The following is a 27,450-nucleotide window of genomic DNA, read 5'->3' as shown; positions in this document are numbered from 1 at the left end:
TGGTGGTACATGCCTGCATTTCCAGCTATTCAGGAGCCTGAGGGGAAGGGATTGCTTGAGCCCAGGAGATGGAGGCTTCAGTGAGCCATGCTTGTGCCACTGCACTTCAACTTGGGTGACAAAGACCTTGTCTCAAAGAAACAAATAAATAACCCTCTCACAGCAGTCAGCACTGTGAGAGCCTCTTGTGGATGAGTTTACTTTCTCAGTCCTCTGTTTCCTCCTTTGCAATGTCAGCTCCCAGAGGGTAGGGTCTCTTATCTATCTTCCTCATAGCCATATCTCAGCCCCCTGGCACATGGTGGGTGTTCAATGAGTATTTGCTGAATGAATCTAGGAGACCCTGGGCAACTGAGAGGTGCTGTGTCGGAGGCCGGGATCAGTGCTCACCATCTGAATGGAACATGGCTCAGACATGTCTGTCCCAGGACTCAGGAGCACAAGGTGCCAGGCAGAGTCCTGCCTCCACCTCCCAGGATGCCAGAGTCCTGACTTCAGTCTCTGTGGTCACTGAGAGTGACGCCACCATTCAATGTCTCGTCCCCTCTTGTTACACTCTGGGCATGTGGGAGACTCTCCTTATTTGAATACTTCTGGTGACAGGAGGCAACTCTGCCCAGGCGGCTTATCCTCTCTTCTGCACAGCTCAGACTCACAACATTCTTCTACAGGACCGAATCCTTCCTCCCTAAACCTCTTCCAAGATTGCCTTACAGAGATTATGGTCCCTGGCTCTTAGCCAGATGACATCAGTGGGATGCCCAATGAGGATAACAGTAACAGCTGAAATATAGCAGCGCTAGCAACCAGCCAGGCAGGGTCCCAGCACAGGAACCTCACAGTTACTAAGAGTGAGAACTGTCAGCATTCCTATTTCACAGATGAGCTGGGGAGTTAGAAATCCCAAGCAGAGTGACTACCCTTAACAAAAATGCACGGTAGTCAGGTGATGGACACCCTCAACACCCTGATGTGATCACTGTGAATCACATACACGTCACAATTTCACATGTACCTGCCCCATAAATGTGTACAAATGGCCAGGTGCAGTGGCTCACGCCTGTAATCCCAGCACTTTGGGAGGCCGAGGTGGGCGGATCACCTGAGGTCAGGAGTTTGAGACCAACCTGGCCAACATGGCGAAAACCCATCTCTACTAAAAGTACAAAAATTAGCTGGGCATGGTGGTGGGCACCTGTAATCCCAGCTACTTGGGAGGCTGAGGCAGGAGAATCACTTGAACCCGTGAGGCGGAGGTTGCAGTGAGCCAAGATGGCGCCACTGCACTCCAGCCTGGGTGACAAGAGCAAGACTCCGTCTCAAAAAAAAAAAAAAAAGTGTACAAAATTAAAAAAGAAGTCGCAAGCTTCAATTTCCCCTCTTACTCTCCCTTCTCCAGGCCTGAGCGTCCCCATGTCTGTTGCACAGGTGACCTAATGCAGCCGATCCTGAAGGTCGTCTCTGGGACTCTAACCATCACCAGCTCGAGAGGTGGCTCTGCTTTCGTGGGTGTTGAATGGCGCTCTCTGCCTGCTCCTCCTTGATCAGGTGCCAGGATTCCCCCCATTCTCTCCTGGCCACCTTCCTTCTCAAACAAAGCTCAGGAGCTGTGACCCTTATGCTGGGAGGGCCACCCAGTTGCAGCAGGAGGGGAAATTGTGCAGGTGCCATGAGTAGCATTGCCAGGTGCCATCCAAAATGTGGGAGGCAGAGCCAGGCAAAGCCCAGCACGATGAGTGAGTACCCTCATCTCATGTCCAGAGGCCCCCGCCCTCCACCCTGATTCTCCAAGGCTCCGCCCAGCAGTCACCTCCTCTCCTCTAGGTCTCCTTCTGAGACCACCTCTCACAGGTCCCCAGCCCCTGCCTGGCGCTCTCTCTCTCTCTCTATCGCTCTCTCTCTCTCTCGCTCTCTCTCTCTCTCTCTCTCTCTCTCTGTCGTGTTTTTTAACTTCCTGAGCACCAGACTTTTGGAGTCTCAACCCTGGGGCTTCTTCTCTTCTCCAACACACGCTGGCCTGGCTGATCTCATCTCTAAGCTTCCAATGCCACCTTCCTCTTGCCCCCGCCCCCCATGTCACATGCACATGCCCACAGCTGGCCAAGAAACCACCCCAGATGTCTCCCTGGCACTTCCCCAGCTGGAATTTGCTCAGCTCCGGATTTTCCCAAGCCACCCCCTCCCTGGGTCTTCCTGTGTCAACAAAGGCCCTACCATCCTCAGGACGCTCCCAGGCCAATCCCTCATCCCCCGCCTCCCTCCAGTCTATCACTCACAGGGCCACCTCCAAAGGCATCTCAGTCCACCAGCCACCTCCTCCTCCACCACCCCCTCCTGCCCTCCTTGCTTCCACTTCTGTCACCCTCCAGCCCATCACCCACAGGGCTATAGAATGACTGTCCACAAATACAAATCAGATTGGATCACTCCTGCGCCTATGACCCCCCGTGGTCTCCACTTTCCTTACAAAGTCCTACACGGTGGGGTCCTGCCCACTTCCCCTCCTGACCTCCTTTCTCTAACTCACTCTCCCACTCACTCTCTCTACTCAGGAGCTCCTCAGACTCAGTCCTGCCCCAAGGCCTTGGCATTTGCCATGCTGCCTGCCTGGAATCTTCCACCTCTCCCTGTGCCATCTGCTGCCCCCACTCTCTATGGGACAGGCTCCTTCTCTTTCTGGGGGTCTCTCCTCCTCAGAGAGGGTCTCCCTAACTTCCATATCTAAACTAACTCCTACTCAACCCTCATCACATCATCTTACCTGGTCGTCCTCACAATGCCCTGGCCTTCCACATCCCTGAGTCATCTTGGGGAGCCTTGGGGCTCCACAGATCCCACAGAAAAGCCACTGCCCCACAGGATAAAGTGCCTCTCTCTGGAGTGAGACTCAGGGCCTTCACAGCACAGCCCAGACTCAGCTCCCAGCCACATACACCTTCTCTTGTTCTACGCCTTTGCACACGCTGTTCCATGCTAGGATGCCCTTCTTCTACCTTGGCCAACTGGCGAGTATCCAACTACCCATCCCTCATGAGCCAGTCCAAATGTGACTCCCTGCCTGTCTGTGCGTCCAGCAGGCTCTGTCTAGCACCCAGGAAAAGCAGCTCCCTCCTCTGACTTCACTCATGTCCTTCGACCATGATGTCCCTGTCGGGTGGCAGGCTGTCCCAATCACCAGATTGGGAGGGTCTCATGGGCCAAGAATCAGCCTAATCATTTCAGGGTCTCCAGTGCCCAGCACACAGCACAGACCAGGTCCCTGGTAAAATCTGGGGCTGGGTGAAATACTTCAGGCTCTTGGTGTATATCATCTCATGTAAAGCTCACATCAACAACAAGAGGTCGGTGGGATGATCTCCCTGCCCCAGAGGCGTAAAAAGAGGTTCTAAGAGTTTAAGAGAGGGAGCCCAGGGGCACAGCCTTAGGGAAATGACAAGGAAGAATGCAAATCCTTACTGGCCACCTCCCCTTACACCACTTCTATGTAGCAGATGCTACCAGGGTCACAAGATGAGCACAGGCATGTCCTTCCACCACTGGAAGCACAGGTGTGTGGTTGGGCTACCACTCACTGGCTGGGGCACTTGGGCGAGTCACTCGGCTTCTGAGCCTCCATTTCCTTGCTTGTAAAATGGGCAAGTAACTCTCCCCACCCAAATTTCACAAGTGGGAACGTAAGACTCATTGCATGGCAAATAGCTGGTACTCAGTAAACACAGCCTCCTGTCTCCTGGCACATAAAAGACGCTTGGTGACTACTTTCCAAGTTAATTAACAAAGGGGCAGACAAATCCATGGAAGGATTAGCAACCATCCCTTCAGCAGTAGAAGCTGGTGCAGCCTTCAGCCACGCCTACCCTGCCTCCTCTTTCCTCTGGCTTTTCGAGAATTCTCCATTTCTGTCCACTTTGCTGCTTTGCAGGAGCTCAGGCCGAGGGGGAGCAATGCCTTCCCCACCTGCCGGTTCTCAGCAGCACTGTGGAAAGAGAGACGCAGGTGCTCTCCCACTCTGACAGCCCAGCCTCAACTCAGAGATTCTCTCTGGCCTCCTGGGGTTGGCAGTGACATGGCCCAGCAACATCCCAGCTTCAGAACACACTGCCACGGTTGACTTCACAGCATCAGGGCTCCGGGCCTGGCAGCAGGGTGAGCACAACCCTTGCCCAGCAGGAACCCTGCTGTTCCCACGCCAAGTGGCACAGAGCAGGTCCACTCTGGAAAACCACTCACTGTCCCCTGGTAAAGCAGAAGGCGCCACACCCACGACCCTGAGTATTCTGGTGGTCTCCAGGTGGTTTCCAAGTGCCCACAAATGAGAGAAAGGGTCCATAGGCTGCAGTGTGACCACATGATGCCAGCCACCTCACTGCCACCACGTGCAATAACCCACAAGGAGCACACCAACACTGCACCAGGGAAAGAGGCAGGTCACAGGGGAATACTGCACACAGCCTTTCATGTGAGACTCAACAACAGAGAAGAATGAAGCAAGATTGTTCGGGGGTAAAATTATAAGGAAAAGGAGGGAACTCTTGCTGACTGCCATCAGGACGGTGGTAACTGGAGTGGGGTGTCAGGGGCGACCCTATGGTTTCTGTCCTGCTGCCCATGTGGACACTTCCTGAACTGCTCTCCTCCCAAACAAAGACAGTACTGAAAAAGGTAGTATGATCAGAAAACTCTAAGACTAAAGACTAAAAGAGTCTTTTAAAAATAGATCCAGGCCAGATGTAGTGGCTCACACCTATAATACCAGCATTTTGGGAGGCTGAAGCAGGAGGGTTGCTTGAGGCCAGGAGTTCAAGACCAGCCTGGGAAACACAGCCAGACTCCATCTCTACAAAAAATTTAAAAATTAGCCAGGCATGATGGTGTGTGCCTATAGTCCCAGCTACTTGGGAGGCTAAGGGAGGAGGATCACTTAAGCCCAGGAGGTCAAGGCTGCATTGAGCTATGATCGTGCCACCGCACTTCAGCCTGGGCAACAGAGCAAGACCTTATCTAAAATAAATAAATAAATAAATAAACAAATTTATTTTTTAAATTTAAATAATAAATAAAAAACTAATTTATTTTTTAAATTTAAATAATAAATTTTAAAAATAAAATCAAGGTAAGTGAAACAAGCCAGATACACAAGGATAAAGACTATGATTCCACTTGTATGGGGTCCTTAGAGTAGTCAATTCATAGAGACAGAAAATGGAATGGTGGGTGCCAAGGGCTGGGAGTGGGGATATAGGGAGTTAGGGTTTAATGGAGACAGAGTTTCAGTTTGAGAAGATGAAAAATTTCTGGAGGTGGATGGTGGTGACAGCTGCACAACGAGGTGGATGTAATTTATGCCTTGGAAGAGCACAACTAAAAATGGAAAATGTCATGTTATGTGATTTAAAAAATAATAAAAATGCATTGCAGTGTAAAAAATTTGTGACCCTGCAATTCTCCTTGTAGGGATCTAATCTGCTGATAGATGAGATGCTCCCATGAACACAAACAGGAGCATCACAGATTCTGATGCACCTGCATTTGTGACAGCAAAGATCCAGAAACAACCTAAATCCCACCTGCAGGGCAGTGATTAAATAACTGATGCTGACCAGCCTAGGTAACACAGTGAGCCTCCATCTCCCAACAAAATTTTAAAAATTAGCCAGGCATGGTGGCATGCACCTGTGGTCCCCACTACTTGGGAGGCTGAGGCAGGAGGATGCCTTGAGCCCAGGAGGTCTAGGCTGCAGGGAGCAGTGATCACGCCACTGCCCTCCAGCCTGGAGACAGAGCAAGACCTTACCTCAAAACAAAGCAAAACTGATGCTATATCCATCTAATCGTATGCAGCTGTTAAAAAGCGTTAGATCTGCATGCACTTACATGAAAGAATTTCCACATGTACTATGAAGAATTTTTTAAGGGTCAATCCTGAATAGTATCTCTAATAAGCTACCATTTGTCTTCCTAAAAAGATACATGGATATGCATGGATTATTTCTGGAAGGATACCCAAGAAACTGGTAACTGTGGCTATCTTGGGGAAGGACTCAGCCCTGGGGAGGGAGGAAGGAAACTGACTGTTTACCCCTTTTGTAATTTGTATTTGTTTCTTATCTTATGCAGGTATTACCCATTTTCTGAGGATTCTAAGCTCCTTTGATCATAGGACAATGGGTTCCCTGAACAATCCAGTGCAGAGGTCATGACCGCTCTAGCCAGTCCCAGTCCCTTGACATTAAAGCCTTAAAGAATTCCGGCTTTGAAAATGCTGCAGAGAAGTTTCCACACCTGGCAGGAGGGTGGTGACAGGGCCATCTCCGCCAGGCCCCTGTTTGGACAGGATATTTGTGGGGCCTGAGCAAACAGCACACAGAAGGCTGCAGCCCTGATGTTCCCGCCAGCCTTGGTGTTCTCCTGGGGGTGTGGAGGGACAGGGTGGGAGGGTTACCTGAAGGTCTGTGGAGGCGCCTTGAGTTTTTTTTTATGAGGACTGTAAAATGGACAGACAGAAAGGGTTTCTGAACCTGGGTCTGCCTTCCTCCCCGGGATCACAGAAACCAGCAGGGGATGGCTAAGAAACAGCAGGAGCGGCCAGGCAGCGGGCTCTGCCTGAGCTCACCCAACTCAGCCTGAGGGATGCCTTCCTCAGCAGGCAGAGCAGCCCCAGCCAGCCCCCTCAGCACCGGCTTCTGCATCCCCACTGCTTTCTGTGGCCCTCACATCACCTTCTCCTCTGTGGGTGTTTACTGTCTGGACACCCCAGCCTGGCCAGTCCAGCCAACCGGCCGGATCTCAGGCTTGGCAGAGCTGCCTGCTAGACCCCACCCTGCACCCACGGTATCTTCCCTCTGGCTCTAGAAGGAACGTCCCAGCCTCAGCCCCCATTTTGCAGACCAGCAGACAGCTGTGGAAAGAGAAGGCACAGCTTGCCCCAGACCACACACCCAGCCGGGGCAGCCGCAGGATCTCACCCCAGCTGCATGGCTCCAGAGTGCAGGCTCCTGAGCCAAGCATCAAAGAAAGGAAAGAAGGGAACGGAAGTTCAAGTCCCCATCTTCATCAGTTCTTCCAAGGGAAGCAAGGCCCTCCCTGCCACCCCTCTGGCCCCTTCCCCAAGCCCACTCTCACAGCAGGCTCTCAGCTGTGCACCATCCTGCATAGGGTCTGGACCTGGGAGCCCGGGCTCTGGGGTCCCTCTGTGTCCCCAGCTGAGTGTCACCTGAAAGCCAGCTTGACCATTCAGCTCTGCCAGCTTGAGAAGCCTGGCAAAAGCTGTTTCCTGGGCCCAGGTCGGGGGCTAGGGCTCCCCCTCCCTCCAGAGCCCACGGAGCCAGGATCACTTTAGTAACAGCCACCACCCAGCTGGGAAAACCAAGACCCAGGGAGGCAGAGTGATGTGCCCAAGGGTTTAAACATACAGGGTTTAAACGACAGGCTTATTTTGTGAGGTTATCCCCAATCCCCAGGACAGGAATCAAAGCTGCCCAAGCTGCAGGTCCCCTGAGCCCAGGAATGGTGAGAGACAGGGTCTGAGCACAGAGAGAAGCCCATCACAGCAGGGACCTCTGCCCCGCCCAGAAAGAAGCCCATCACAGCAGGGACCTCTGCTCCATCCAGAGAGAAGCCCATCATAGCAGGGACCTCTGCCCTGCCCAGCACCACCCCCAGCCCATCAAGCCCGGGCAAGTGGGTCTCTGAGCGACGGAACTCTGCCCATGTTTCAACAAGCAGCCCCCAAACGTCAAGGAGGGTGGGTTTAACCGCACCCTCAGTATCCTACCCACCCACTGGGGTCTACGAGCTTTCCAAAAGTCTCCAGAAAAAATGCTTGACTCCTGGGCCTGGGAAGAAAATATAATGGCTCCAAAATCTAAAGAGACAACCACAGAAAAGAACTGGGAAAATGTTCACTTAAAAGTCTATACATTTTACAAGATACCAGCTTGTCAACTGTAACTCAGCTCAACTCTGAAGTGGAGGTAAAATGAGTGTTATAAAAGCTTGCAGTGTCAGGGGCAGAGGAAGACGAGGTACACTGGCTTAAGACCGGCTGCTTCCAGGGCTGAGAGAAGAAGAATTCATACTTGCTAATGGTTACAGCCGCCCACGCTGGGGACTTCTGAATATGTCACCCACTTAATTCAGCCGCCCGTGCTGGGGACTTCTGAATATGTCACCCACTTAATTCTCCCCACAACCCTGCAGGCTAGGGGCAATTATCTTCCACTTTTTTTTTTTTTTTTTTTGAGATAGAGTCTCACTCTGTCGCCCAGGCTGGAATGCAGTGGCGCGATCTCAGCTCACTGTAACCTCTGCCTCTCAGGTTCAAGCAATTCTCCCGCCTCAGCCTCCCGAGTAGCTGGGACTACAGGGGCACACCACCACGCCCGGCTAATTTTTGTATTTTTAGTAGAGACGGGGTTTCACCATGCTGGCCAAGCTGGCCTTGAACTCCTGACCTCGTGATCCACCCACCTCAGCCTCCTAAAGTGCTGGGATTACAGGTATGAGCCACTGCGCCCAGCCAATTACCTTCCCCTTAAAGGTGAAGAAAGTGACTGTACTGAGATTGGAATGCAGCTCTGCCTGTCCCCAAAGCCCAGGCTGTTGTCTACCAGAGACAAACTTGAAAACATTTCCTTATGTTTATATCACAATGTGAGTGTGCAGATTAACTTTAACCCATGCCCGGGTAGTTAACATGTGCAGGACTCCAATGAAGATCCAACCCTCCAGAGGTGGCTGCTAAATTCAGTGTGAATATTGCCATCCTATCTGTGATGACTGCAGAAATCACCTCAATGCTTTGCAGTTCCTCCCATTGAGAAGTGGCATCTATTTCCCCACCTGTTGAATCTGGGCTGACCTCGTGACTATGTTGCCCTGGACAACAGGATATGGCACATGTGAAATCCAAAGGGGCCTTGTGGCTTCTGCTGTCTCTCCTGGGACTCTGTAGTCCGGGCTGGGCTGATGGAGGATGAGAGAGCATAGACAACCATCCCAGCAGAGGCCATCCCAGACCAGCTATCTCCCAGCTGAGCTCCCAGCTGACCACAAACACCTGAGCGAGCTCAGCCACACCTGGCCCCCATCAGCAGAGCCCAGCCCAAATTCCCAACTCACAGAATGAGCTAAATAAACTGTTGCCAAAGCAAACTAATATAAGCCAGAAATACTTAGAAAATAAAGGGTTAAAATCAATACAATTTGCAATAGTATTAAAAACATCAATTAGCTAAGAATACATCTAATTAAAGATATACAAGAACTCTACACTAAAAATGACAAAACACTCCCAAAAGAAAATAAAAACAACCTGAATAAATAGGGGGATATATCATGTTCATGGGCTGGAAACTTAATATTGAGATGTCAATTCTGTCAAATCTGAGCTACAGATTCAATACAATACCAATTGAGATGCTAGCAGCCTTTTAAAAGGGCTAATTCCAAATTTCAATGGAAATGCAAAGGACCCAGAACAGCTGAAACAATCTTGAAAAAGAAGAACAACGCTGGAAAACTCTCACTAGCAGATATTAAAAATTACTACAAGGCTACAGTAATCAAGACAGAGTGGTAATGGTGCAAAGATAGATAATGGAACAGAAAAGAGAGGCCAGAAAACATTGGCCGGGTGTGGTGGCTCACGCCTGTAATCTCAGCACATTGGGAGGCTGAGGTGGGTGGATTGCTTGAGGTCAGGAGTTCGAGAGCAGCCTGGCCAACATGGTGAAACCCTGTCTCTATTAAATAAACAAAAATTAGATGGGTGTGGTGGCAGGCACCTGTAATCCCAGCTACTCGGGAGGCTGAGGCAGAAGGAGGATCGCTTGAACACAGGAGGTGGAGGTTGCAGTGAGCTGAGATTGCACCACTGCACTCCAGCCTGGGCAAGAGTGAGACTCTGGCTCAAAATAAAAAAAAAAAAAAAAAAAGAAAAGAGAGGCCAGAAACAGACCATACAGATGCAGCCACTGGATTCCTGGAGAAGCTAACAATGTAACGCAGTAGGGGAAAGATGGCCTTTTCAACACATGGTGCTGGGCCAGCTGAATGTCTATCAGTAAAAAACTGAATTTTGATTCCTACTCACACCATACACAGAAACAAGTTCCAGATGCACTAAGGAGCTAAATGTGTAAGGTAAAACAATAAAACATCTAGGATATTACAGAAAAATATCTTTATGACCTTGGGAGAGACATCAATTTCTTAAACAGGACACAAAATCTTGAAAAAGAAGAACAATGCTGGAAAACTCTCACTAGCAGATACTAAAAATTACTACAAGGCTACAGTAATCAAGACGGAGTGGTAATGGTGCAAAGACAGATAATGGAACAGAAAAAAGAGGCCAGAAAACATTGGCCGGGTGTGGTGGCTCACGCCTGTAACCCCAGCACGTTGGGAGGCTGAGGTAGGTGGATCACTTGAGGTCAGGAGTTCAAGGGCAGCCTGGCCAACATGGTGAAACCCCATGTGAGATGTCTAGGGGCCATTTGTTAATACAAAATGTACTAACATAAATATATAGATCAATAGATGATACTTCATTCCAATTTGGAACTTGTGTTCCTCAGATGACAACATTTGCAATGAATTCATCAGAAAGTTTTATTAAGAGAGTAAAAAGGCAAGTCATAGAATGAGATCACCTATGTGGAATCCAACAAGAGACTCATAACCAGAACATATTTTTAAAACCCCTATGAATCAATAAGACAAAGAAACTTAATTTTAAAATAGGCAAATGACAACAAAATAGCCAAGAGTAATATGAAAATGTAGACAACATCATAACTTGTAAGAGAAGGCAAATAAAGGCCACAGTGAGCTATTACTGCACATCCTCCAGACTGGCCAAAATTACAAAGAATGGCAACCGCCAGAGTTGGCAGAAATGTGGAGCAAATGGAACTCTCATGCATGGCTGGTAGGGATGCAAATTGGCAATGTACTTTGGAAAACCATTTGGCAGTATCTGCTAACATTAAACATAACCTTTGATGCAGCAACTCCAGTCCTCAGTATGTATCCAACAGACATGGATGCCTAAGTCTTCCAAAGACGCAGACGAGAATGCTCACAGCAACAGTGTGCAGCATGGAACCCAAATGTCCATCGACACTAAAACTGATTTTTAAAACTATGATTTATTCCTACAATGGAATCATAAGGAGTAATTTTCTAAAAATGAACTACTGCTATATGCACCAATATGCATGAGTCTCAAATACCTTACCTTGAGCTAAAGAAGCCAAACACAAGCAAGATCACGCTGTATGTTCCCATCATTCAAAATAAATTCAAGAACAGAAAACAAAACAGGGCTGGGCATGGTGGCTCACGCCTGTAATCCCAGCATTTTGGGAGGCTGAGGCAGGTAGATCATTTGAGGTCAGGAGTTCAAGACCAGCCTGGCCAACATGGTAAAACCCCGTCTCTACTAAAAATACAAAAATTAGCCAGGCATCGTGGTGGGCACCTGTAGTCCCAGCTACTTGGGAGGCTGAGGCATGAGAATCACTTGAACCTGGGAAGCGGAGGTTGCAGTGAGCCAAGATGGCACCTCTGCACTCCAGTCTGGGCAACAGAGTGAGACTCTGTCTCGATAAATAAATAAATTAAAGACTAGGCAAGAGTTAGGCCAGGCATGGTGGCTCCTGCCTATAATCCCAGCACTTTGGGAGGGCGAGGCAGGAGGATTGCTTGAGGCCAGGAGTTTGAGACCCAGCTGGGCAACATAGGTAGACCCCATCTCTACAAAAAAATAAAAAATAATTGGCAAGAGTAATAGATGGTGATAAAAGTCAAAATAATGGTTTCCAGCAGCGATGGGGTTAAGAACTGAGAAAGGGCACCAGGAAAACTCTGGGGTGCTTGAAATGCTTTCTATCTTGACTGTGGAATGCCTGGGTTTACACATAAGAAGAAACTTGCTGGGCTGTTCTATTAAGGCTTGTTGCTTTACTGTCTATACATTTTACTCTAATAAAAAGCTCTAAGACGAGTACTGTTATATTAATCTGGATTAAAAGACACTCAAGAGCATGTACATTATGCTTCAATAGAAACTTTAAGAAAGAAGGAAACTCAGGAGACATTAACAACCAAAAATAAACCAAATATCTAATCATCCTTGATTAGACATTGCTTTTATAAAACGAGCTATACGGTACCCTTTGGGAAGAAGAAGAGAGAGATTAATATAGTTGGAGTATTAGAAGGCATTAGGGAATTGGTAATTGTGTGAAGTATAGGGTCATGGTATGTGATAATATTAGAGAATATCGCTATTTTTTAGAGTTGCAAGATACAGTGTCAAGACTGAAATATCCATGTGTGTGTGTGTCCCAAATGAGAGAGAGCACTGGACAATGATGAGGCTGAGGCCCTTCTTCACTGAGCCCCCTTCCCCCTCAAATAGCCCCACTGAAAGTCTGTCCCAGCTGCTTAGTGTGGACTGGGGTTCCAGGTGGAACCCTGGGATGTTAGTGAGCTGTGGCTGGGAGAGTCACAGTTACCAAAGGGGGCTTGATGGTGGGCTTCAACAACATGGGTGGGAGGGGCTGTGAGACCCCATAGTATTTGACTTCCAGCTGCTCCTTAGAAAGCTCTGGAAAGTGGTATGTTCGCAGTCAGAGGACCCATGGACAAGCCTCACCCTTCCACAGCCTTCCAGGGAGCCAGTGATGTGTGCGACTGTCATCCGCATTTTCATGGGTTATTTTTGTTGCGATGTCTAGGGGCCAACTCTATGCAAAAGAGAGAAAAGTATCTTGCACAACTCTGGCCTGCCCTGATTCAGGAGAAGCACAGAAATTCTTGACAAGTTTAACTCTGTTTAAAAAGAATGTGTGGAACTTGCAAGGCACTAAAAGTGTGCACTGTCCCTTCTCAGAAAGAACTATGAATTCTCTCTTTCATTATTATTTAAGGAACTGCTATTACCTAAGAGACTATACTTCTGCTCAAACTGAAGTTTGATGTAATTCTGATTCTTAGAATGATGTTTTGTGTTACTTATAGATGAATCTTATAAATGATTTAATTCTGTTGCTTTTTCTTTCTCGCTTAATTTCCAGCCCATCATACGTACAGTTTAATAAGAGATATTTAACTACATAGCAATTTTGGTGTTCCCACACCAGTATTTACTATGAGAAACGTAAACATACCTTTTTAGAAACATAAATAATGATTGATAAAAAATCAAAGTAAAAATATCACATAATATAAACTGGATCTTTTTTTCTCTTAGAAGTAAACAGGCAGTGGGGCACCAGCACTGTCCAGCGTGGTCTTCTGCAAAGCCTCGGGTGATCCGTGCTGGCCGGGGAGGCGTTGACTCAGAAGTCCTGCCTGGAGAAGAGGCAGCAGGTACCCTGGGAGCAGCCACCAGCCGTGCTCTGCCAGAGCAAAGCCAAGGTGGTCTGGGACCTGGAGCTCAGGGTTCCCAATGAGAAGCCACAGGGCCAGGCTGGGGCCCTTCCAGAACCAAACGCCCCGTGCCTCCGCCTGGCAGCTTTCCATTTCCCTTCACCCCACACAATCATGCGTCACTTAACGAAGGGGTCACGTTCTGAGAAATGCGTGGTTAGGTGGTGTCGTCATCGTGTGAGGACATAAGAGTGTCCTTACCCACACCTAAGTGTCATAGACTACTACACACCTGGGCTGCATGATATAGCCTTGCTCCTAGGCGACACACCTGTCCAGAACATGACTGTACTGAGTACTACAGGCAACTGGAACACAATGGTAAGTATTTGTGAATCTAAACAAAGCTAGACACAGAAAAGGCACAGTAAGAGTATGATATAAAAGATAAAAAGTGGTTCGCCTGTATAGGGCCTGCAGGCCCAGAAAATCTGAGACAGGTCTCAGTTAATTCAGAAAGTATTTTGCCAAGGTTGAGGATACATGCCCAAGACACAACCTCAGGAAGTCCTGACCACTTGTGCCCAAGGTGGTTGGAGTGCAGCTTGGTTTTGTACATTTTAGGGAGGCAGGAGACATCAATCAAGCACATTTAAGAAACACATTAGTTTGGTCCAGAAAGGCAGGACAACTCAAAGCAAGATTGGGGGGTGCCTCCAGGCCACAGGTAAATTTAAACATTTTGTGGTTGACAATTGGTTGAGTTTGTCTAAAGACCTGGGATCAATAGAAAGGAATGATGTTTGGGTTGGGATAAGAGGTTGTGCATGGTGTAGTTTTATCATGCAGATGAAGCTTTTAGCTAGGCTGTAAAATGTTTCTTATCAGACTTAAAGTCTGTGCTGAAGTTAATGTGAGAGATATAATGAGGCCTCTCTGACCCCCACTTCCCTTCATGGCCTGAACCAGTCTTTCAAGTTAAATTTTAAGAGCGCCTGCTGAGAAGGAAGTCCAGTTAGATGGTTGGTGGCGGGGGGCCTTAGAATTTTATTTTTGGTTTACAGGGCCCTTACCATGCATGGAGCTTGCAGACTGGATGCTGCCGTGGGTGACTCAATGAGTGAGTGGTGAGTGCATTTGAAGACCTAGGGCACTACTGTGCACTACTGCAGATTTTAGAAACACTGGACACTTCAGCTACACTAAATTTAGTTTAAAATATTTTTCTTTCTTCAATAATAAATTCCTCTTAGCTTACTGTAATGTTTTTACTTTATAAATTTTAATTTTTTACCCTTTTGTAATAACGCTTACCTTAAAACATAAATGCCCTCATTGTACAGCTATAGAAAAATATTTCTTTATATCCTTACTCTATATGTGTTTTTATTATTTTTTTAATTATTTATTTATTTTTTTTTTTTTTTTTGAGACGGAGTCTCGCTGTGTCACCCCGGCTGGAATGCAGTGGCCCAATCTGGGCTCACTACAAACTCCGCCTCTCGGGCTCAAGCGATTCTCCTACCTCAGCCTCCTGAGTAGCTAGGATTACAGCCCTGCGCCACTGTGACCGGCTAATTTTTGTATTTTTAGTAGAGATGGGGTTTTACCATGTGGGCCAAGCTGGTCTCAAACTCCTGACCTCAGGTGATCCGCCCTCAGCCTCCCAAAGTGCTGGGATTACAGGCATAAGCCACCGCACCCAGCCTATTTTCAATTTTTTTTTTTTAACTTTTAAATCTTTTTTCTTAAAAACTAAGACATAGGCCGGGTGAGGTGGCTCCATCCCATAATCCCAGCACTTTGGGAGGCTGAGACAGGCGGATTGCCTGAGCTCAGGAGTTAGCAACCAGCCTGGGCAACATGGTAAAATCCGTCTCTACTAAAATACAAAAAAAAAAAAAAAAAATTAGCTGGGCATGGCACCATGCGCCTGTAGTCCCAGCTACTCAGGAGGCTGAGGCAAGAGAATTGCTTGAACCCCAGGGGTGGAGGTTGCAGTGAGCCAAGATCACGCCACTGCACTCCAGCCTGGGTGACAGAGCAAGACTCCATTTCAATAAAAAAAAAAAAAAAAACAACTAAGACATACGCCAGGCGTGGTGGCTCATGCCTGTAATCCCAACCCTTTGAGAGGCCTAGGCAGGCGGATCACGAGGTCAGGAGTTCACGACCAGCCTGACCAACATGGTGTAACCCCGTCTCTACTAAAAATACAAAAATTAGCCTGGCGTGGTGGCGGGCACCTGTAATCCCAGCTACTCAGGAGGCTGAAGCAGGAGAATAGCTTGAACCCAGGAGGCAGAGGTTGCAGTGAGCTGAGATCACGCCACTGCACTCCAGCCTAGGGGACAGAGCGAGAATCCATCTCAAAAAAAAGAAAAAAGAAAAAAAGAAACTAAGACATAAACACACACACTAGCCTAGGCCTACACAGGGTCAGGATCATCAATATTACCGCCTTCCACCTCCACATCTTATCCCGCTGGGACGTCTTAAGGGGCAGTAACATGCAGGGAGCTGTCATCTCCTATGATAGCAATGCCTTCTCCTGGATACCTCCCAAAGGACCTGCCAGAGGCTGTTTTATAGTTAACTATTTTTCAAATAAGTAGAAAGCCAAATAACACACTAGCGCACAGTAGTGCCCTAGGCCTACCAAAATAACAACAAAAACATAGTAAATACATAAACTGGTAACACAGACATTCATTATCAAGTATGATGCACTGTAACTAACTACACGTGCTAGGCTTTTTGTTTTGTTTTGTTTTGCTTTTTTGAGACAGAGTTTCACTCTTGTTGCCCAGGCTGGAGTGCAATGGTGCGATCTTGGCTCATTGCAACCTCCGCCTCCTGGGTTCAAGCGATTCTCCTGCCTTGGCCTCCCAAAGTGCTGGGATTACAGGCATAAGCCACCACGCCCAGCCCATGTGCTAGGCTTTTGTATTACTGGCAGTGCGGTAGGTTTGCTTATACCAGCATCACCACAAACACGAGTAATGGCTACGCTGTCACTAGGCAAAAGGCATTTTTCAGCTCCTTCAGCTTCACCATAATCGTATGGGACCATCACATATAGAGTATATCATTGATGGAAATGTCATTATGCAGCGCTTGACTGTACCACCAGGCCCGCCTTCCTAGAACTTGACCAGGCACTGATTGATCTGATTCCCCCATGCACACCCCCCACTAAAATACATCCTTCCTCTGTCTAGTTGCTCCTGCAGAATAACTGGCCACTCTGCACACTCAAAGTGAAGCAATCAGCACTGATCAAAGGTGCCTAGGAGAGGTCAGGGTAACACGCTCACCAGCCTCACGCCAAGCAGGAAACACTTCTATCCTGATGGCCACGGCTGGTGGGGGGTGTGAGGCACAAAGCCAGGAAGCCAGAGAGCTCCACTCAAAGCCCAGCCATGCCCCCACCAGCCAAGCAACCTCTGGCAAGACCCTTGGCCTCCCTGCTCCTGCATCCAGGCTCCAGGGGCCACACGGTGACAGATGAGGAATTGTGAGGTCGTCCTCCATCACTCACCCACCACCAACCCAGCCCCAACTGCCAGGTGGGCCAGCTTGGTGGGGAAGGGACAGAAGCACAGCCATTCTCTGATCAGCTTCCACCTCTAGCTTAGACCTGTGCCCTGAGCTCCATGCTCAAGTTCCCACCGCCAACATGGCATCTCTACCTGGGCATCTGAGCTCACTCTAACTCCTCCCGTGTGAGCATGTGAGGAGCACACAGAGATGAGCTTGAGGCTGCTCATCTCACGCCCATGCCTGTGTGGTGGCATTGCGGACAGTCCCTGATTCCCAACCACCATACCCGCACGGCCATCCTCCCCAAAGCCTACTGCCCACTCCCTATCTGCCCTAGACCCACCTTCCACCCGTCAGCCCTGCTCTTTCTTGAGGGAGGCTGGCCTGGAGGGTGGCATCCTGGGGTCCCCATACAGGCACAGTTGCCTCTACCTATGGCCACGGCTACTCCCTGGAGCCTCGGCTCTCACCAGTCTCCCCTGCAGGCCAGGGGTGGAGCTCCCACTGTTGCTGGTCCAGGTACTGCACAGTAACCTGCAGGTCCCTGCCCTCAGCCCTCCATGTAGCCTCACCATGACACTGATCCCACCAGCTCTGACTCAGCTGGGATGGGAGGTCTGGGCAGAGAGAGCCTGGGTTGGAGTCAGGGCTCCTGGGCCCCCATCCTCTGCACCTGCAGAGCTCTCAGCCAGCTCCTCACCCAGCACTGGACCTCTGTGTCATCCTAGTGGTGTCAGGAGGGGTGGCAGAGGGAGAGTCCAAGCTATGGCAGCAAGCAGGTGCCTGTAGTGTACTTTGTGGGTGCTTTAAAAATATGTGAACGAATTGCTAATATTTACAAATTGGGAGCTGTCATATGAAGTTCCAGATCCCAGGCTTCTTGTAGAAAATCCAAAATCTTGGACCATGCCAGGCCTCCACGGCCCCAGGGCAACAGCAGGAGCGACTGCCCTTGTGTTCTAGGTACAGTCTCTGGTCCCCACGGCCCCCACTTTCCAACAAGCTGTTTCACTCCCAGACTTCTAGTGCTGCTTCTCCATTGCATGCATTCTAAAGGCCAGCTGGCCACAGTCGCTGGAGTTAACAGCAGGGACCCTCATCCCTAAGGGTCTTCACCTTTGTGGTTCCTGCTGAATCTCTGGCACCCAAAAGGTGAGGGGGGCAGGCTAGAGGACGGGGCTGGAAGCAGGAGAGAAAGCCTCTCACTCCCTCTCTCCCTACTCCTCCACCCCCAGGTTCTGGGCCCTCTGTGCCAGGCAGGCTTGCCTACCTGCTAATCCCACCTTTATATATGGGGTCTATCACTGACCAAAACGTCCTTATGTGGCCCTTGACTATACTTGGAACCACAGTCCCACCAGGTCCACCGGCCTAGACCTTGACCAGGAAGGTACCAGGGAGAGGCCTGAGGGGTTGGGGCAGGGGGGCGAGTGCAGAGCCTGAGGCCTGCCAGCTTGCCCTGGGCTCAGCTTTGCCCCTTGAGGGCCAGCCATCCAGACAGTCCTGAAGCCTCAGTCTGCCCACAACAGGGAAATGCCTGCTCACACTGGGCAGCCAGGCAAACTCAGGGAGTCAGCAGGCAGGAGGTGGAAGTGCCCGGTGCAGGGGGCCAAGTCAGGGGTTGGCAAACGTCTACTTCACTGGTTTCAGGAACCATGGACAATTCACTTAACCTGCCTGGGCCTCAGTCACCTCGTCTACAAAATGGACATAATGATGACATCCCCTCACGGGGTCACGACACATAATGGACTGATACGCGTCCAGTGATTAACACAGTGCCTGGCACATAATAAATGCTCCACTGATGCAGGGTGACCTGTGAGGGTGGCAAAGAGGGCCCCGCATGCAGACTCAGTAGAGGAGGGTGCCCCTCCCCTTGTCTGTGGGAAGCCAGCCTTGCAGCCAGGCAGTATGGCTGAAGGAGGGGTCTCGCAGCTCGCGCGTTTGCTGACGCAGTTGGCAGGGGCCGAAACAAGAGTGCAGCATGGGAGGGAGACAGCCAGTGAGGAACACGCTGCTGCACATCTGGAGGCAGCTGGAGTGGCAAACATAGCAGCGGAACGGCCCCTGCCCAACCCTGCCAGGCCTGGCTCCTCTGCTCTTTTGCCAGAGGGGACAACTTCTGGCCACCAGAAGATACACATCTACATCTGTTTGAAGAAACAAGAACACAAAGCCCTCTTCTCATCCCTCCCCCGCCACCCCAGTTCCTGCAGAACCTCTGGCAGGATGAGGCAAGCAGCCCGTGGCCCGGAGCAGCACTCTGTGCTGGCTGCCGTTAGCCCGCCTGCTCCTCTCAGTAATCCTGAGACTAACAGGACCGCCCCATTGTACAGATGCAGAAACTGAGGCTCAGAGAGGGTGAGTCGCTTGCCTGAGGTCACACAGCCACGAGCGGCAGAGGCAGGAATTCACTCTCTGAGGGCCAAAGCAGGCTCAATCTCACTGCAACTTGGCCCCAAGCCCACTTTCCCAGCATGGAGGCCGAGGAGTGGACAAGGGGGTGGAGGTCCCACCAGAGCCCCAGCCCACACAATTCTGATCTCAACCAGAAGCTTCACCTCAAAGCCCCGGATGCTGCAGGCCAGAGGTCCTAGAGGCCCACAGCCTGGCCTAGCCTCGAGGAGGTGCTGGCAGGTAGAGGATGCCGACATTGCCCGCAGGGAAACTCGCAGCACAGATCCTGAACTCCAGCTCACTGAGGCCCCCAGGATTCTGGAAGGCTCAGGAGGCCAAGGACTCCTAGGCATGGTTCAGCCTCAGGAAAGCCGCATCTGCTGCCTTGGCCTGGGTGCGTGAACAGGATGCAGCCCAGGGCTCGAAGGCCGCCACCCTCTCAGCAGGGCCTCAGGACTTGGAACCACAGCATCCGGGACGCCAGCCATGAGTGGAGCTCTGCTCTGTGGCAGGCCTCCCCTGCACCTGGTGTCCACTGCAGGCTTTCTTCCCATTGAGAACACAGCTCTGGGAGGAAGCCAACAGTAAGCCCCTTTTACAGATGAGAAATCTTGAGGCCCAGGACAGTTAAGCAATTTGCCTGAGGTCACACAGCTAGTGAAGGGTCGAGCCAGCCTCTAACCTGGGGAGCCCTGTGCCAGGACCCAAGCAGAAAACACAGAGATGCCTTTTATGTCAACAGATCTGGGTTCAGAGCTGGGCTCAACACTTCCTCGCCCTAGGCCATGGCCAGGCACAGGTTGACACCACGGTGGGAAGGGACTCGTAATCCCTTTGCTGTAGGGTCACTATGGGAACTAAATGAGAGGAGGCACGTGAAGCACTGGCACGGGGTCTGGGGCTTGGTGGTCAGGCACGGGGGCACCCACTGAACTGACCGCCTGCATTCTCCCCCTCCTTAATCCCCACCATGGCAGCAGGACTCTGCAGTGACTCTCGTGGCCAGGAGCCTTGACCCTGGGCTGGCCTCTTGACTGGCTGCCAACACAATGTGGCAAAAGCAGCGGCCCTGCTAGTTCGGAGCCCAGGTGCAAGAGTCTGTGGGTGTTGAGGTTTACGGCACGCATACTACCTCAGCCTCCACGTCTGATTGGCCACCTAACTTAGATGATAAATTCCTGCTGTCTTTCCTCTACTTCAGCCCAGAGAGCTCCTTCCCCAAACCCACACCTGACCTCCAGGCCAGCAGGATTCCAAAATAACACCTCCGTCCAGGAAAGGACTTTGCATTGGTTTGTTTCAAATCTCAGGCCTGCTTGCTTTAAAGTGCCCAACCACTACCGGACTTTCATGTTCCCCATCCTGGACCCCAGTGAAAGCCAGTGCCCCAGGCCCACACCTCCCCCCCACCCCCCACCTGCCGCCCCTGACTTCCCCGCGTGTGTGTGGCCCCCAGGTGCACCACGTATCCCCCAGGAAGTAATAAAATCTCAATCTCCATCTCAAGTCTATCTTAATCATTGAAGGAGTGCTCTCCATCTTCAAGATCCTAAATTAAACACCTGTGTGTTTCTAATCTTTCTCTTGGACCTCTGTTTCCACAATGAGAACACGCCAGAGCTAACCAGCTGGAGACCACGTGGCACAGACATGAGCCATCCTGGCTGAGGCCATCCCGGACCAGCTGAGCTGCCAGGTGACCACAGACACACGTTCAGGCCCAGCAGGTGTCAGCCACGCCTGGCCAGGTTAGCAGGACTGCCCAACTGGCCCGTGGACTTGGGAGCAATAATAAATGTGCACTGTGTGCGCTACGGAGGAGCTGTGGTTGCCTCACTTGCATTCCTGTGACAATGGGTAATTTATACATGGCCGAGGTGTGTCCAAGGAGGAAAGACTAACATTGGTTTAGCGAGAATGGCAGGAAGGCCACCCCACAGCAGTGTTGGTGGGAGTGTGACCAGTGAGACTCACTGGGGAACCATCAGACGAGGTGGGTGGAGAGCTACGCACACACAAACTAAAACCACCAGGAGAGGCTGCTCCCCACCTCTCAGACTGGCAAAGTCCAGAACCTGCTTAATTTCCTCTTTAGCACTTTCACCATCTAACGTGCCAGATTTCAGATGTTCATTTTGTTGACTGTGTGAATCCCCACCCCACGACTGGCAGCTCCAGTCTTGTCTGTTTTGCTCACCCTGTCTCCCCGGCTCCTGCAATGGTGAGAGAGGCACTCAATAAATATTTGTCGCATGAATAGAACGAGGAAAGAGACATTCTCATGACTGCAGGTGTAAGTAAAATCCAGTACACCCTCCAGGGCGAACAAGTGAACAACGTCTACCAGGGCTATAAAAATACGTCCATATAAAAAAAAATTACATCCATATCTCCTAGAGCTGAGCCAGCCAGCACCTCTCAACTGAAATGCACAGGCATAAGGACCAGAAGCCTGGCAGAGAAAGCTCATGGCCTCCACTGGAAACAACCCCAATGCCCCCAGCCGGGGAACAACAAGCTAGGCAGGGTCGATCCCTGCAACGGAACACTATGCAACAATCAAAAAGACCCCCTCCCGATACACGCAATGGCACGGTCATTCATTTATAAAAGTTTAAGAGCAGGAAAACTAACCTCTGCCATTAGAAGTCAAGAGAGGTGGTTTCCTAGGAGGGGCACAAAGGAGGCTTCCTAGGGCCGGCTCTTGTCTCATGAGCTGAGGGTCAGCTTCACAGGTGTGTTCACTTGGGAAAATTCATTTGAGTTGTGTGCTTCTGACAGGTTCTAGTGGTTATGTGTCAATGAACAGCGTACAAAGAAAAAAAGCACAGACACATCGACCTCACAATTCCACACTGGGGCATGGTGTAGAGATGCTCACAGCAGCATCGCTTTTTAAGAGCAAAAGACTGGAACCAACCTGAATATCCATCAGTAAGGGAACCGGTAAATCAAAGATGGGGTTTGCATGCTGTGGGGCACCACGGCCATCAAACACAGAAAGGGGACTTTCCATGCAGTGACAGGGAAAAGCTCCAAGATCCATTGTTATTTGAAAAAGGCATAGAACAGAACGCTGTGCGTCCTATGTTAGTGCTTGTGAAAATACGTGCACGCACCTACATGCTTGTAGTTGCACTGACCAGTGGTTCTCAAGTGTGGTCCTGGCCCTATAGGGTCTCCAAGACCCTTTCAGGGATCCATAAGGTCAAAATTATGTTTGTCATAACATTAGGACATTGGTTGCCTTCTTCATACACTCTCCCCCAGTGCAGTGTATAGTGGACTTCTCTGGAGACTACATGACAGTGTGATGATGTCATCACTTTGAGGCTAATGGGATGTGTGCTTGCGTATTCTAGAAGTTTCTAGAGCAATCTCATGAACACATGCTCAGCATCATTAGTCATCAGGGAATTGCAATCTAAACCACGATGAGATGCTATTTCATACACACTAGGATGGCTATAACAACTGGTGAGGATGTGAAGAAACTGGAACCCTTGTGCACTGCCGGTGGGAATGTAAAATGGTGCAGTCGCTCTGGAAAACAGTCTGATAGTTCTCTTTTTTTTGAGACGGAGTTTCACTCTTGCTGCCCAGGCTGGAGTGCAAAGGCGTGATCGTGGCTCACCACAACCTCCGCCTCCTAGGTTCAAGCGATTCTCCTGCCTCAACCTCCCAAGCAGCTGGGATTATAGGCATGCACCACCACACCCGGCTAATTTTTTTATTTTTAGTAGAAACGGGGTTTCTCCATGTTGGTCAGGCTGGTCTTGAACTCCCGACCTCAGGAGATCTGTCTGCCTCAGCCTCCCAAAGTGCTGGGATTACAGGCGTGAGCCACCACACCCGGCCTCAGGCTGGTAGTTCTTCTAAGGGTTAAACACAGAGTTACCATGTGGCCCAGCAATGCCACTCCTAGATATGTTCCCAAGATGAATGAAAACATGTGTCCATATAATAAACTTACACATGAATATATATAGCTGCATTACTCATAATACTGAAAAGCTGGAAGAATAATGTCCATCAACAGATGAACAGATTTTTGAAATGTGGTATATTCATACAACATTATTCAACCATGAAAAGGAATTAATGACACATGCTACCACATGAAATGGACCCTGAAAACATCGTGCTAAGTGAAAGAGTCACACACTAGAAACCACATAGTGCATGATTCCCAGAGAGTCCAGGGATATCCAGAATATGCAAATCCATAGACTCAGAAGGAAGATTCCTGGCTACCGGGGACTGGGAGAAAGAGGGAATGGAAAGTGACTGCTACAGATGTGGGTGTCTTTCTGGAGTGATGACAATGCTCTGAGATTAGATTCTGGGGATGTCTGCACAACTCCAAATCTACTAAAACCCACTAGATTCTGCTCCCTCAAAGTGGGGACTTTATGACATGCAAATAATATCTCAATAAAGTGGTTTTATTTGCATAAACTAACAGAGTTAGTTTTTAAAATTAAAGAAACCCACCGCAGGCCTAGCCTTGGCCCCAGACCCTCAAGATGGGTTGGGTCCGGCTGTGAAATGCACGCATTTTGCCCAGGCAGGCAAACACAGGGAGCACCCAGCTACCAGCCACCCAGACCCACTTGTACCTCTAGGTCCCCCATGGGAACCACAAGCCCTCCTCCTCCACTGGGAGACTGGGGCCCCCTGCTACAGCCCCAAGATGACAGTTTTCTCTTCCATGAAATGGGATGTCCATGCAGAGTATCTCCAGGTTGCCACAGGGTGAAACTTGCTGTTTCTGACAGATGCCCCTGAGCAGAGGGCCTGAACCCAGCTGCCCCCGGGCTGGTGGCAATGAGACCTGGGGAGCTGGCCTGGAGGGGACTGCAGCAAATGCAGGGCACCTGTCCAGCCACGGAGCTCTGTGGACCTGGGGCAGCCACCTGCTCCCATTCTCTCCAGCAGAGCCTCTATGCACAGCTGTGCTCTGGGTCTCTGTACTGACAACAGAGAGGATGTGTTCCCTTTTGGGAGCTCCTTGTGAGGGCCCTGTACCAACTCTGCCACTCCTCCTAGCCAGGGATCCTGTTAACACATAAGTTGGCCAGTGTCACCCCTTTGTTCAACACCCTGCTGTAGCTCTCACCTCAGAGTAGAAGCCAAAGTCCTCATGGTGGCCACAGGCCCTGGACAGCCTGCCCCAGTGACCTCCCAGATCTCCTATCCCCCTCCCTCTCCCCCACTTATCTCGGCTCCACTGGCCTCCTGTCCAGGCACCTTCCTGCCCTGGGGCCTTTGCACTCGCCGCTCCCTCTTTCAGGTGCACGCGTGGCTCGCTCCTCCCCTTTCAGCTCTCTGCTCGGGTCACCGCCCCAGGGAGGACTCCCCTGTCCATCCACCCTTCCTCTCACTGTGCTTTTTTTTTTTTTTTTTTTGAGACGGAGTCTGGCTCTGTCACCCAGGCTGGAGTGCGGTGGCGCAATCTCGGCTCACTGCAACCTCTGCCTCCCGGGTTCAAGCGATTCTCCTGCCTCAGCCTCCTGAGTAGCTGGGATTACAGGTGCCTACCACCACACCCAGCTAATTTTTGTATTTTTAGTAGAGACAGGGGTTTCACCATGTTGGCCAGGATGGTCTTGAACTCCTGACCTCAGGTGATCCATCCACCCACCTCGGCCTCCCAAAGTGCTGGGATTACAGGTGTGAGCCACCTCACCTTGCTTTAATTTCTCTTAGCAATACCTGACATTACAGCAGATAATTCCCATGGACTTGTTTACTGTTTTCTTCCCCAACAGAATGTCAGCACTGTGAGGTGAGGGTGGGGACCATACCTCTCATATTCTCTGCAGAGCCCAAGGGCCTCTAGCAGGGCCTGCACACAGTTGGAGCGCTATAAATACTGGGTGGATAAATGAGTGAACCCGGGGGGGGGGGATCCCCCTGACCACCCCTTCTCTCAGTAATTCCTCCTCACCCTAGTTCTCCTGCCATCCTGAGCATTCCGACCTCTCTCCCCTCTGTTCCAAGCATTTGCTTACACTGTTCCTGGCCAGCTCAGATAGCACCTCCCCTGGGAAGCCTTCCTGAATCTTTGTGCCTTCACTCATCCCCCTCCCCCAGCTCCAGCTCTACTTTCTTCCTGTCTCCCTTCTGAGGTTTCTAGAGATCTGTCCCCACAGTTGGATGCCTGTGTCTTGTTCAATCCCATATCATTTACTCTACAGCCTTCATCAGGTGTCAGCTCTGAGCATGTCCTGGCATCCCTGGGAAGGCAGAGATGAACCAGTATGGACTTGGTTCACAGACTGGGGGCTGTGAGGAAGAGAGGCCTGTGTGATATCTGGGAAGGCTTCCTGAAGGAGGGGGCATGAGGGGCTCTGCAGTGTCAGCAGTGTTCCCATCTACTCATTCTGCTGCCCATAGCTGTGGCCTTGGGCAAGGCTCTTAACCAGCTTGGATCCTGTTTTCCCATCTCCCAAGTCCTCCCACAGCACTTGCTGGGCATGGACCATGTGCAAAGCCCATGCACATGCAATGAGGGTGAAACTGGGGTCTCTGTGGGTTCCTCCAGGCCTACCGGCTGCCACCCCTGCCAACTCTGCTTCCAGCCTGCTTACGGTGGGCAGGGCACAGAACTCGCCCTTGCCGAGCACCTCCTGGGTGCCCGGCTCTTGTTTCTGTGATATGATCCTCCCAACAAGCTGGGGAGGTAGGCTCCATCTCCCTATTCTCAGCAGAGCACAGTCCAAGAGGTGTGGCTAGCAGCACCAGGTCACAGGCGGGACCTGGTGGTGGGAGGTGGTGGGCTGGGATGGGGGAGGAGCGGAACATGCATGTTGTGGGTGGAGTGTGTAATGAAGTGCACGTGTGCCAGGGAGGGCATGCAGCCAGGCTCAGAAGCGTGGTGCATGCAGTGCAGCTTCCAGGGTTTCTGAAATAGAAGCAGCCCCACCCCTGGCCCCCAGTCCTGCCTCTTGATGCCCGAGGCCTCTCTGTGGTCTGGGCTGTGGGATCCTAGAGAGCAGCTTTGTTATCAGGAGCCCCAGTTTTCCCCTCTGCCCTGAGCTTTCTCAAATAGATTTTTTAGGTGTGGGCTTTGATGAGGACTGCTGGCTGTTAGGCCCCCAACTGAGTCCCCCTTATCTTGTCTGACGGCTGATCTGGCAGGGGACCCAGCAAACGCAAAGGCCCAGAGACCAGAGTTAGGGCAGGGACAGGCAGCTGCAGCGTTTGGTGTGCAGGGAATGGAAGGTTTAAGGACCCAGGGGTAGAGGATGAATTCAAAGGGGACCCAGAAGCTCAGGCCTGGCCAGATAAACATCCACAGCCGCACCCCAACTCTCACCCTTCTGCCCACCCATGGCCCACTTGTCATCACGAATTCATGGGCTCTGGCTCAACCCACAGAATCTGAGCATGCGGCTTATGGTTTTGTGCCTCAGTTTTTCCACCTGTAAGCAGCAGGGAAGTCCCTGCATCATGGGGCTGCTTTGAGGATTAAATGAGCTAATTTGTGTCCAACACTCAGCTGAGGACTTGCTGAGCAATTAGAAATGCGACGATGATTAGTCACCGTCTGTCCTCAGCCCACCCGCTGATATCTTCAACAGATACTCACAGAGCACCCTCACTGAGCCAAGGCTGCGACAGTGAGCAAGGCAGACGCAACCTCGCCCTCGTTTAGAGTCTAATGGGGGAGGAGGGCGTTACAGGGATGTACACAGGCAGGTTTATCCCTGGTCACGGCCATGTGCACGCAGCATGGGAGGGGTGGGAGATGGAAGCCCAGCGGGTGGGGGATCGGGCTGCCCAACTGAGCCTCTTGGGGGAAGTGGGGTTTGGACCCTAGCGCCCCTGGCTGCTGTTGTTGGGGGAGGCCTTGGGGGATCTAGATGATGGAGCAGCCCTTGGTGAGGAGAAGCTGGGGAGGTGGCTTTGCCCTGCTCAGCCCTGGGCCCTGCAGAAAGGGAGGTAATGGGGCCAGAAGTGACCCCTCCAGCCGCGTTGCCATGGCAGCCCTGGGGCCTAGAGAAGGGGTTTCCAGCCAGTGCCCCAGGCCTGGCTGGGCTGGGGGTCCTGTCTTTGAGCTGGAGCCCTGCCAGGGATCCAGACTGCCTCGGCCAGGCCATCCCTGCCTCTGAGCATGTCCAG

The 27,450-nt window shown here is 50.8% G+C and overlaps 1 protein-coding gene across 3 annotated transcripts in view, besides 3 other annotated features; it reads right to left on the bottom strand.

Annotated features, from left to right (window-relative positions):
• The window catches only part of FBLN2 (fibulin 2), an 89,280-nt gene that overhangs the window by 36,451 nt on the left and 25,379 nt on the right, over nucleotides 1-27,450 (bottom strand). The gene's annotated exons all lie outside the window — the stretch shown is intronic.
• Nucleotides 3,581-4,081: an enhancer, noted in NCBI's record as "H3K4me1 hESC enhancer chr3:13639373-13639873 (GRCh37/hg19 assembly coordinates)". NCBI's record gives its function as "activates a minimal SCP1, AML or CMV promoter by ChIP-STARR-seq in naive H9 embryonic stem cells {active_cell/tissue: H9 hESC(naive)}" and the evidence as "EXISTENCE:reporter gene assay evidence [ECO:0000049][PMID:30033119]".
• Nucleotides 23,616-24,369: an enhancer, noted in NCBI's record as "H3K4me1 hESC enhancer chr3:13619085-13619838 (GRCh37/hg19 assembly coordinates)". NCBI's record gives its function as "activates a minimal SCP1, AML or CMV promoter by ChIP-STARR-seq in primed H9 embryonic stem cells {active_cell/tissue: H9 hESC(primed)}" and the evidence as "EXISTENCE:reporter gene assay evidence [ECO:0000049][PMID:30033119]".
• Nucleotides 24,370-25,123: an enhancer, noted in NCBI's record as "H3K4me1 hESC enhancer chr3:13618331-13619084 (GRCh37/hg19 assembly coordinates)". NCBI's record gives its function as "activates a minimal SCP1, AML or CMV promoter by ChIP-STARR-seq in primed H9 embryonic stem cells {active_cell/tissue: H9 hESC(primed)}" and the evidence as "EXISTENCE:reporter gene assay evidence [ECO:0000049][PMID:30033119]".

The sequence above is a fragment of the Homo sapiens genome, chromosome 3, assembly GCF_000001405.40.
Source record: "Homo sapiens chromosome 3, GRCh38.p14 Primary Assembly".
NCBI lineage: Eukaryota > Metazoa > Chordata > Mammalia > Primates > Hominidae > Homo > Homo sapiens.
The sequence above is the reverse complement of the archived record's forward strand: the minus strand, read 5'-3'. Positions and strand labels throughout refer to the sequence as shown.